The sequence below is a fragment of the Homo sapiens genome, chromosome 14 (genome assembly GCF_000001405.40).
Source record: "Homo sapiens chromosome 14, GRCh38.p14 Primary Assembly".
NCBI classification, from domain to species: Eukaryota; Metazoa; Chordata; class Mammalia; order Primates; family Hominidae; genus Homo; species Homo sapiens.
In genome coordinates, this window is record NC_000014.9 from 59,550,666 (window position 1) to 59,562,804 (window position 12,139).

At 39.3% G+C, this 12,139-nt stretch overlaps 1 protein-coding gene across 12 annotated transcripts in view; it reads right to left on the reverse strand.

Annotated features, from left to right (window-relative positions):
* CCDC175 (coiled-coil domain containing 175) overlaps window positions 1-12,139 on the reverse strand; it is a 71,746-nt gene that overhangs the window by 45,599 nt on the left and 14,008 nt on the right. For all 12 annotated transcript variants that reach the window (XM_011537124.4, XM_011537122.4, NM_001164399.2 and 9 more), the window contains 2 exons: window positions 10,454-10,563; window positions 690-771 (listed from right to left, as the gene is read on the reverse strand). In XM_011537124.4, the coding sequence (XP_011535426.1) occupies window positions 690-771; window positions 10,454-10,563 (192 nt within the window). The remainder of the gene's footprint in view (window positions 1-689; window positions 772-10,453; window positions 10,564-12,139) is intronic.

Consider the following 12,139-nt stretch of genomic DNA (forward strand, 5'->3'; position numbering starts at 1 on the left):
AAAGCTGAAGAACCTGGAATCTGGTGTTCGAGAGCAGGAAGCATCCAGCATGGGAGAAAGATGTAGTCTGGGAGGCTAAGCTGGTCTAGTCTTTTCACGTTTTTCTGCCTGCTTTATATCCTGGCCGCACTGGCAGCTGATTAGATGCTGCCCACCCAGATTAAGGGTGGGTCTGCTTTTCCCAGCCTACTGACTCAAATGTTAATCTCCTTTGGCAACACCCTCACAGACACACCCAAGATCAATACTTTGCATCCTTTGATCTAGTCAAGTTGACACTCAGTATTAACCATCACAATATGATATATAATATTTAGAATATTCTTAAGTGTAGAGCAGGTTGCTGCACTTCACAGGCGTAGCACACAACAGCAAGAAGATTCTAACTTTCTAAATAATTCACATCAAAAATATCCATTAATCCATTAATCATGGATAGTCCTAAGGTACCCATACTCACATGAAAAGTTACCAAAAAACAGTTCCTCTGTACATGGACAACCTTTGCTCTTTGATATAATTAAAGTACTTTGGGAGGAGATAAAATTTTTTAAATTACTACAAACAACCATATTATTGGTCAATGAAAAACATCCTTTTGAAAAATTCTATATTTCTCACATATTTTAAACATTAACTAAAAATGAAATGTAATTATAATGTAAAAGTCATGACTTCTGCCTTCTTACCTGTTTTATCTTGTTCAGGAATTCATTTTTTTCATCATTAGATATATCATCTAGTTTTTCTTTGTTATCTGTGAAAAAACACCTATGAACAAAGGAAGCCAAACAGATTCATATAAGAACATACTTTTGAATTCTAAGGCAAGGTGGCCAAATAGGAACAGCTGCAGTATACAGCTCCCAGTGTGAGTGACACAGAAGATGGGTGATTTCTGCATTTCCAACCGAAGTACCGGGTTCATCTCACTGGGGCGTGTTGGACAGTGGGTGCAGGACAGTGGGTGCAGCCCACTGAGCGAGAGCTGAAGCAGGGCGAGGCATCACCTCACCTAGGAAGCACAAGGGGTAAGGGAATTCCCTTTCCTAGCCAAGGGAAGCCATGACAGACAGCACCTGGAAAATCCGGTCACTCCCACCCTAATACTGCACTTTTCCAAGGGTCTTAGCAAACGGCACACCAGGAGATTATATCCCGCGCATGGCTCAGAGGATCCCACGCCCATGGAGCCTCGCTCATTGCTAGCACAGCAGGCTGAGATCCAACTGCAAGGCAGCAGCGAGGCTGGGGGAGGGGCGCCCGCCATTGCCAAGGCTTGAATAGGTAAACAAAGCGGCCTGGAAGATGGAACAGGGTGGAGCCCACCACAGCTCAAGGAGGACTGCCTGCCTCTGTAGGCTCCAACTCTGGGGGCAGGACATAGCCGAACAAAAGGCAGCAGAAACCTCTGCAGATTTAAACGTCCATGTCTGACACCTTTGAAGAGAGTAGTGGTTCTCCCGGCACGGAGTTTGAGATCTGAGAACAGACAGACTGCCTCCTCAAGTGGGTCCCTGACCCCCGAGTAGCCTATCCAGGAGGCACCTCCCAGTAGGGGCAGACTGACACGTCAACTGGCCGGGTACACCTCTGAGACGAAGCTTGCAGAGGAATGATCAGGCAGCAACATTTGCTGTTCAGCAATATTCACTGTTCTGCAGCCTCCGCTGCTGACACCCAGGCAAACAGGGTCTGGAGTGGACCTCCAGCAAACTCCAACAGACCTGCAGCTGAGGGTCCTGACTGTTAGAAGGAAAACTAAAAAACAGAAAGGACATCCACACCAAAACCCCATCTGTACATCACCATCATCATAGACCAAAGGTAGATAAAACCACAAAGATGGGGAAAAAACAGAGCAGAAAAGCTGAAAATTCTAAAAATCAGAGCACCTCCCCCCCTCCAAAAGAACACAGCTCCTCACCAGCAATGGAACAAAGCTGGATGGAGAATGACTGACAAGTTGAGAGAAGAAGGCCACAGATGATCAAACTTCTCCAAGCTAAAGGAGGAAATTCGAACTCATCACAAAGAAGCTAAAAACCTCGAAAAAAGATTAGACGAATGGCTAACTAGAATAACCAGTGTAGAAAAGTCCTTAAATGACCTCATGGAGCTGAAAACCATGGTACGTGAACTACGTGACAAATGCACAAGCTTCAGTAGCTGATTTCATCAACTGGAAGAAAGGGTATCAGTGATTGAAATCAAATGAATGAAATGAAGCGAGAAGAGAAGTTTAGAGAAAAAACAGTAAAAAGAAATGAACAAAGCCTCCAAGAAATATGGGACTATGTGAAAAGACCACATCTACGTCTGATTGGTGTACCTGAAAGTGACAGGGAGAATGGAACCAAGTTGGAAAACACTCTGCAGGGAATTATTCAGGAGAACTTCCCAACCTAGCAAGGCAGGCCAACATTCAAATTCAGGAAATACAGAGAACGCCACAAAGATACTCCTCCAGAAGAGCAACTCCAAGACACATAATTGTCAGATTCACCAAAGTTGAAATGAAGGAAAAAATGTTAAGGGCAGCCAGAGAGAAAGGTTGGGTTACCCACAAAGGGAAGCCCAGCAGATTAACAGCTGATCTCTCAGCAGAAACTCTACAAGCCAGAAGAGAGTGGGGACCAATATTCAACATTCTTAAAGGAAAGAATTTTCAACCCAGAATTTCATATCCAGCCAAACTAAGCTTCATAAGTGAAGGAGAAATAAAATCCTTTACAGACAAGCAAATGATGAGAGATTTTGTCACCACCAGGCCTGCCCTACAAGAGCTCTTGAAGGAAGCACTAAACATGGAAAGGAAGAACCGGCACCAGCCACTGCAAAAACATGCCAAATTGTAAAGACCATCGAGGCTAGGAAGAAACTGCATCAACTAACGAGCAAAATAACCAGCTAACATCATAATGACAGGATCAAATTCACACACAACAATATTAACCTTAAATGTAAATGGGCTAAATGCTCCAATTAAAAGACACAGACTGGCAAATTGGATAAAAAGTCAAGACCCATCAGTGTGCTGTATTCAGGAGACCCATCTCATATGCAGAGACACACATAGGCTCAAAATAAAGGATGGAGGAAGATCTACCAAGCAAATGGAAAACAAAAAAAAGGCAGGGGTTGCAATCCTAGTCTCTCATAAAACAGACTTTAAACCAACAAAGATCAAAAGAGACAAAGAAGGCCATTACATAATGGTAAAGGGATCAATTCAACATGAAGAGCTAACTATCCTAAATATATATGCACCCAATACAGGAGCACCCAGATTCATAAAGCAAGTCCTTAGAGACCTGGAAAGAGACTTAGACTCCCACACAATAATAATGGGATACTTTAACACCCCACTGTCAACATTAGACAGATCAATGAGACAGAAACTTAACAAGGATATCCAGGAATTGAACTCAGCTCTGCACCAAGCCAACCTAATAGACATCTACAGAACTCTCCACCCAAAATCAACAGAATATACGTTCTTCTCAGCACCACACAGCACTTATTCCAAAATTGACCACATAGTTAGAACTAAAGCAATCTTCAGCAAATGTAAAAGAACAGAAATTATAACAAACTGTCTCTCAGAACACAGTGCAATCAAACTAGAACTCAGGATTAAGAAACTCACTTAAAACCGCTCAACTACATGGAAACTGAACAACCTGTTCCTGAATGACTACTGGGTACACAATGAAATGAAGGCAGAAATAAAGATGTTCTTTGAAACCAATGAGAACAAAGACACAACATATCAGAATCTCTGGGACACATTTAAAGCAGTATGTAGAGGGAAGTTTACAGCACTAAATGCCCACAAGAGAAAGCAGGAAAGATCTAAAATTGACACCCTAATATCACAATTAAAAGAACTAGAGAAGCAAGAGCAAACACATTCAAAAGCTAGCAGAAGGTGAGAAATAACTAAGATCAGAGCAGAACTGAAGGAAATAGAGACATAAAAAACCCTTCAAAAAATCAATGAATCCAGGAGCTGGTTTTTTGAAAAGATCAACAAAATTGATAGACTGCTAGCAAGACTAATAAAGAAGAAAAGAGAGAAGAATCAAATAGACGCAAGAAAAAATGATAACTGGGATATCACCACCGATCCCACAGAAATGCAAACTACCATCAGAGAATACTATAAACACCTCTACGCAAATAAACTAGAAAATCTAGAATAAATGGATAAATTCCTCGACACATACACCCTCCGAAGACTAAACCAGGAAGAAGTTGAATCCCTGAATAGACCAATAACAGGCTCTGAAAGTGAGGCAATAATTAACAGCTTACCAACCAAAAAAAGTCCAGGATCAGACGGATTCACAGCAGAATTCTACCAGAGGTACAAGGAGGAGCTGGTACCATTACTTCTGAAACTATTCCAATCAATAGAAAGAGGGAATCCTCCCTAACTCATTTTATGAGGCCAGCATCATCCTGATACCAAAGCCTGGCAGAGACACAACAAAAAAAGAGAATTTTAGACCAATATCCCTGATGAACATCGATGAAAAAATCCTCAATAAAATACTGGCAAACCGAATCCAGCAGCACATCAAAAAGCTATTCCACCATGATCAAGTGGGCTTCATCCCTGGGATTCAAGGCTGGTTCAACACATGCAAATCAATAAACGTAATCCAGCATATAAACAGAACCAAAGCAAAAGCCACATGATTATCTCAATAGATGCAGAAAAGGCCTTTGACAAAATTCAACAGCCCTCCAATGCTAAAAACTCTCAATAAATTTGGTATTGATGGGACGTATCTCAAAATAATAAGAGCTATTTATGACAAACCCACAGCCAATATCATACTGAATGGGCAAAAACTGGAAGCATTCCCTTGGAAAACTGGCACATCACAAGGATGACCTCTCTCACCACTCCTATTCAACATAGTGTTGGAAGTTCTAGCCAGGGCAATCAGGCAGGAGAAAGAAATAAAGGGTATTCAATTAGGAAAAGAGGAAGTCAGACTGTCCCTGTTTGCAGATGACATGATTGTATATTTAGAAAACCCCATTGTCTCAGCCCAAAATCTCCTTAAGCTGATAAGCAACTTCAGCAAAGTCTCAGGATACAAAATCAATGTGCAAAAATCACAAGCATTCTTATATACCAATAACAGACAAACAGAGAGCCAAATCATGAGTGAACTCCCATTCACAATTGCTTCAAAGAGAATAAAATACCTAGGAATCCAACTTACAAGGGATGTGAAGGACCTCTTCAAAGAGAACTACAAACCACTGCTCAACGAAATAAAAGAGGACACAAACAAATGGAAGAACATTCCATGCTCATGGATAGGTAGAATCAATATCATGAAAATGGCCATACTGCCCAAGGTAATTTATAGATTCAATGCCATCCCCATTAAGCTACCAGTGACTTTCTTCACAGAATTGGAAAAAACTAAAGTTCATATGGAACCAAAAAAGAGCCCGCATCACCAAGTCAATCCTAAGCCAAAAGAACAAAGCTGGAGGCATCATGCTACCTGACTTCAAACTATACTACAAGGCTACAGTAACCAAAACAGCAAGGTACTGGTACCAAAACAGAGATGTAGACCAATGGAACAGAAGAGAGCCCTCAGAAATAATACTACACATCTACAACCATCTAATCTTTGACAAACCTGACAAAAAGAGGAAATGGGGAAAGGATTCCCTATTTAATAAATGGTGCTGGGAAAACTGGCTAGCCTTATGTAGAAAGCTGAAACTGGATCCCTTCTTTACAACTTATACAAAAATTAATTCAAGATGGATTAAAGACTTAAGTCTTAGACCTAAAACCATAGAAACCCTAGAAGAAAACCTAGGCAATACCATTCAGGACATAGGCATGGGCAAGGACTTCATGTCCAAAACACCAAAAGCAATGGCAACAAAAGTCAAAATTGACAAATGGGATCTAATTAAACTAAAGAGCTTCTGCACAGCAAAAGAAACTACCATCAGAGTGAATAGGCAACCTACAGAATGGGAGAAAATTTTTGCAATCTACTCATCTGACAAAGGGCTATCTAATATCCAGAATCTACAAAGAACTCAAACAAATTTATAAGAAAAAAACAAACAACACCATCAAAAAGTGGGCAAAGTATATGAACAGACACTTCTCAAAAGAAGACATTTATGCAGCCAAAAGATACATGAAAAAATGCTCATCATCACTGGCCATCAGAGAAATGCAAATCAAAACCACAATGAGATACCATCTCACACCAGTTAGAATGGTGATCATTAAAAAGTCAGGAAACAACAGGTGCTGGAGAGGATGTGGAGAAATAGGAACACTTCTACACTGTTGGTGGGACTGTAAACTAGTTCAACGATTGTGGAAGACAGTGTGGCGATTGCTCAGGGATCTAGAACTAGAAATACCTTTTGACCCAGCCATCCCATTACTGGGTATATACCCAAAGGATTATAAATCATACTGCTATAAAGACACACGCACACGTATGTTTATTGCGGCACTATTCACAATAGCAAAGACTTGGAACCAACCCGGATGTCCATCAATGATAGACTGGATTAAGAAAATGTGGCACATATACACCATGGAATACTATGCAGCCATAAAAAAGGATGAGTTCATGTCCTTTGTAGGGACATGGATGAAGCTGGAAACCATCATTCTCAGCAAACTATCGCAAGGACAAAAAACCAAACATCCCATGTTCTCACTCATAGGTGGGAATTGAACAATGAGAACACATGGACACAGGAAGGGGAACCTCACACACCGGGGCCTGTTGTGGGGTGGGGGGAGGGGGGAGGGATAGCATTAGGAGATATACCTAATGTAAATGACGAGTTAATGGGTGCAGCACACCAACATGGCACATGTATACATATGTAACAAACCTGCATGTTGTGCACATGTACTCTAGAACTTAAAGTATAAAAAACAAAAAGAAAAAGAAAAAAAAAAAGAACATGCTTTCCAGAAAAGTCATATTTCCTTATGAAATCAAAAAGTTCCAGTCCCCATCTCCCCATATAACATATTTATGTATATATTTATCAAAATAAACAAAAATGTATACTCCTTTGAACTGATGAATTATTTATTTATTTATTCTTTCACTTAAGAAGCAATTATTGAACACATACGCTGCCAGATATGTTTCAGGTACTAGGGATACAGCATATGCAAGGTCCCTACCCTCATGAAAACTACATTCCATGGAGGGATCAGGAGATAAGCAAGTTATCAAAAAATAAGTAATATATCTCAGATACTATTAAGTGCTCCAAAGAACGCAAAGTAGGATAAACCATAAAAGGATCCTGGGAGCAAGAATGCAGCTCTAGACAGGTGGTCAGGGAAGACCTTTTTGGAATGACCTCTGAAAGACTTGAATGTTAAGACAGAGCCAGCAACATGAAGATCTGAAGGAAGAGCTTTTCAGGTGGAAGAAACGTCAGGCGTCAAGACAGAGGCAGGAAAAAGCTTGGTGTGTTCGAGGAAGAAGGATGGTGAGGCTGGAGACATAGACTGGAACTTGATCATGTAGGGTGTTAAGGTCAGGCTAGAAGTTCAGATTTTATTCTGAAGGGAACAGGGGAAGATTATTTAAGCAGAAGAGCAACATGAACCTATGGACATCTTGTAGGGATGACTCTGGTTACTTTGTGGAGAAAGACAACTGTGGAGGAAGATCATGTAGAAGGCTCTGGTGGTGATCCAGAAAAGATCACGGCTGTTCAGGCTAAAGCTACAGTGGTGGCAGTGGTAAGAAATAGATATATTCAGCATATATTTTGAATATGAAGGCAATAGGACGTGACTTTGGATTTGGCTGGAGTAAGAGTTGAGTCAGGGTTGGGTAGTGAGGAAAGCAGAAATGGTAGATGGCCCCTGGGCTTTTGGCTGGACTAACTAGGTAAATGGCGGTGCCACATTAACTGATAATGGAAGACTGTGGGAAGAGCTGTTTCAGGAAGGTGAGAAATCAAGAGTCTGTTCAGGACATGTTATATCTATATAAGACAGATATATAATAGACATCTTCCAAGTGGAGAGGTCAAGTAAGGTGTACAGTATCTGCATTTAGAGCTCAAGTCATTGAGGTAAAGAAAGTATTTAAAGCCACGAGACTGAATAAAATCACATTGGGAGGGTATGAGCAGAGAATAGTGAAGGACTGAGAACTTGAAATTTAGAGTCGTAAAAAAGAATTGGAACAAGTAAAGGATCCTAAAAAGCAGCAGCCAGTGTGATCAGTGAAATAAGAAAACATGATATTTAGGAAGCTAAGTGAAGGAAGTACAAGAAGGTGGAAGTGATAAACTGTCAAATTCTATTATGAATTTGAGAACTTTCAGGAATTGACTAGACCACTAAACTTTAACAGGATGGAAGCCATTAGTAACCGTGGCAATTCTGAAACCACGTTGGCGCAAAAAAGCAACTATAGTCTCCATAACCTCATACACTTTAATGGCAAGGATATACTCTAGGCCACATATTGGATGTCATTTATATACAACATTTAACTTTCACATTTCTCATGTGCTGAAAACCAGCTGAATGCCAAAGAAACCCCATAGCGAATTAGAAAGGTAGGCATTGGATTCACCTTTATCTGTGTAATCACACTGGATATCAATGATAAGAAAGAACAAGGATCAAACTGCAGTGCCTCCTGTCGATCTATGGAGCATTTGAGTTACTCTTATTTGTCCAAACGCACATGGAATTTAAACTTATGGTTGAGTGATTTTGTTTTCCTCAGTATTTTGAATTCAAAATAGGTAACAAGGCTATTAACCAGCTTGCAATTTAAAGATTTAATGAAGGAAAATGAAGGGTTAAGGATTGATAGGAAAGTGTGTCGTGCAAATTATTTTAGTTTCTTGTATAATTTCTTATAGAAATCTTATAAAACAGCACTGATTCTTCAAATCCACCAAGCGGGAACTAGGTTGCCTCTCCCTATCTTCACAGACAGAGGAAACAGCTAAGGAAGAAAATAGAAAGAATACAAGGAACTTTCTTTTAATTTTCCAGGTAATAAAGAGAAAGAGCAAATTTTTTGAATAAAAAGGAGGATCACTTGTATCCTCAACCACCACATTAATATAAAGCACTTTTCTTTGGTGAGATTCTACATGAATCCAAACTCTTAAAAAGCTGGGATTATAGATAATGATAAATCATTACAAATGGAAGATCAATGAATCCTCACACGTTAGCTAACATGAAGACTGCTTATAAATAAAATTTCATCAACGTAGTGAGGTTTTTATTCATAACAGCTAGAAATAATTTGAGGTAATCCATATCTTTCACTATGACTTTTTTGTCTAGTTTTTCTTCAAAATATATGTAAACTAATACTATTGAATCACAAAATAAAAGAGTTTTTTTGAGTTTTAGTTGTGGTATTAATTGAGCTTTCTTAATTTTTAATCTGATACTGAAGATAAAGATTATTGCCTATTTTATGAACTGATGATGGTAGATCAGCATTGTACTCTACAAATCCTGTTTTGAAAGACCTATTATAATTTTAATTACAATATATTCAAATATATATAGAAATGAGCCATGTTATAACAAGATTCTACATGTGAGGTTACTTGTATTTTGGGAATCTGCTCAGTCCACAATTTGTTTCTTAAACTGTCAGTGAACCACTGCAGTAGTCCCCGGAAGCCATGTTATAAGACTCCATCTTCTTGTGCAGAGCTGATTGGATCAGGAACCAAAGCTGAGCCAAACACATTCTGATATGAAATCTGGGGATTTTCGGGGGAGAGAGTGTGTTGACCAATCTTTAAAGATTGTTGGACCTGTGCCAGGTCAATTCGGAGGATTTGGCATAGCCAGACATTGCCATGTGCTCACCAAGAAGAGAATACTGTGTGCAGATAAAGAGAGGAGTAAAACACTTCCACAAAATGAAGCACAGACTGAGGCTTTGGATGGATGGAAGACCTCCTTCAGTTTCTGGTTCCAGTCCCACGTGTAGCAGTTTTTGCCCTGAGGCTTCCCTGTATTTTCTTAGGAAGTTTGGCAAGTATCCTTTGAGTAAGAACAACTCTAACAGCATGGGTAGATGGGTTGTAGCCTATGATATGTCCCACTAATGCCGTCCCTCATGGGCATTTTTGTTTATAGGGAGTTCGGAACTGAAATGAGAATAATATAGACATTCCAAAGAGTCCTTTCCTTTCCCCAAGCTGACAGCATCTTTAATTTTTTCTCTTGATCATCAGCTAATTTCACAATGAAAAGGTGACTCTATAAAGCTTTCACATATATTTTAGTAAACTAAGAGAATATAATTTTCATGTCAAATTAAAGACATGTTTTTAAAAATGAAAACATAGCATATTAACTATATTATATCATATTAACATATCTCGAAACATTTAAGTAAAAATAAAGCATTACACTTACAGTTTCGCCTCCAGAATTGCAAGGTCTTTCTTTAGCTCACTGACCTCTTGTTCCCAATACCTTATTGATTCGTGTAGTCGTGCTATCTCTAAATTGTGATCACTAAGAACCTATTAAAAATTAAACAAAAATATGGCATCCAATCATCACCAAGTGATTCATAACAGCAGTTCAATTCCACTCAATATTCATGAATTACTCATTCAACTTTTACATTAGGAGTGTACTTCAAGGAAAAAAAGCAATCATTATAATTGTTTCTCTATAAAATAAACTTGGACACAAATAATTCTGAAATCATCAGAAAAAAACAAAATTTAGAGGGGAAGATGGCTAAATACAGCAGTGAGAATGTGAAAACTGTTTTTACAAACTTTTGAGACAAGAATTAACTTTGTCTAACACTTAAAAAAATTAAACAAATCCATAGTGTCACAATCATCTTCCTTTATCATCCCAGGATACCAAAATGAGTATTATTTTAAAAAGTCAAAACAAATTGGGTCTTTTGTCTCCCTTGATATCTATGTTTGTGCTGAAAAGAATTTTTATTTCTTAATATTTAATCAAAATTTAGGAAATGGAATAATTGGATACTGTGAAAAAAAGTTATGATTTACAGGAAGGAAAAATTGATGGAGAAAATTCATAATGAAACCGACATTTTTGCAATGCAATTTTGGGACCAAGAAAAGGAAAGTCTAACTTATTCAGCCTTGGGTTTGCATTTCAGCTTGTGAGGGACAATGAAGCTTAGACAAGGCTGATCAAACAAATTCCTCTTCTCTCCAACAGAGAATTACCATGGACATAATATTTAATGCCATCTAACCCTGGACAGCAATGTGGGATCAGAGATACACCTGTGGGGAGAATAGAGGCACTCTCAGCCACGCCAGGTGAGAGAGGTGGGTAAAAGCTACTCAAAATGGTTTCTTTCTCTAGAGCACCCATAGCTAGTTCCAGAGCTAACTGGAATCGTAGAACTACCATCAGAATGAGCTAAATGTTGAGAGGCCTCTGATCAATCATCAGAATTAGGGATACATGCTGAAGGCCTGATAGGCCTGACATCTGTTATCTTTAGTCCTCAGTCCTCCTTGCCTGGACAGGTAGGCCGCCTTAAGGGTCACATGCTATTATTTTTTCTGCCAACAACATATCAATGTTACCTGGCTGCAGAGACGTCCCATGTGAGTTAATCTGAAATTCCTTGTGGTCTCAGTCTATAGCCAAAATACTGTTTTCAAACCTCAGCCAACAACAACGGCAACAAACTACCAAATATAATGCACTTAATAGGCATGACCTCATTTAATCTTTACAAAAATGCTCTGCAGTAGGCAATATTAATACTTCCATTTTATAGATGAGGAAACTAAAGGTTTGTAGAACTAAGATTTGAACGCAGCTCTGTGTGAGACTCAAGTTTGTGCTTCCAAAACTATTCTCTACTGATGGAGGGGTAGGAAGGTGGGCAGGCTGGATTGTGGGAAGTGGGGAAGGACCCGGAGGCAAATTTACTCCTGCCGCCTTCAAAATAATTTGGGCTTAGAGATCTTCGGAGTACAGGCTAAGGAAGACATATTTCATTTTTCCCAAGCTAGTTGGTGGTGCACTCGATTTATGATTTATGAGGCCACAACTGGAAATATGAGCGTGGGCATGCAGATAGAATACGTTTTA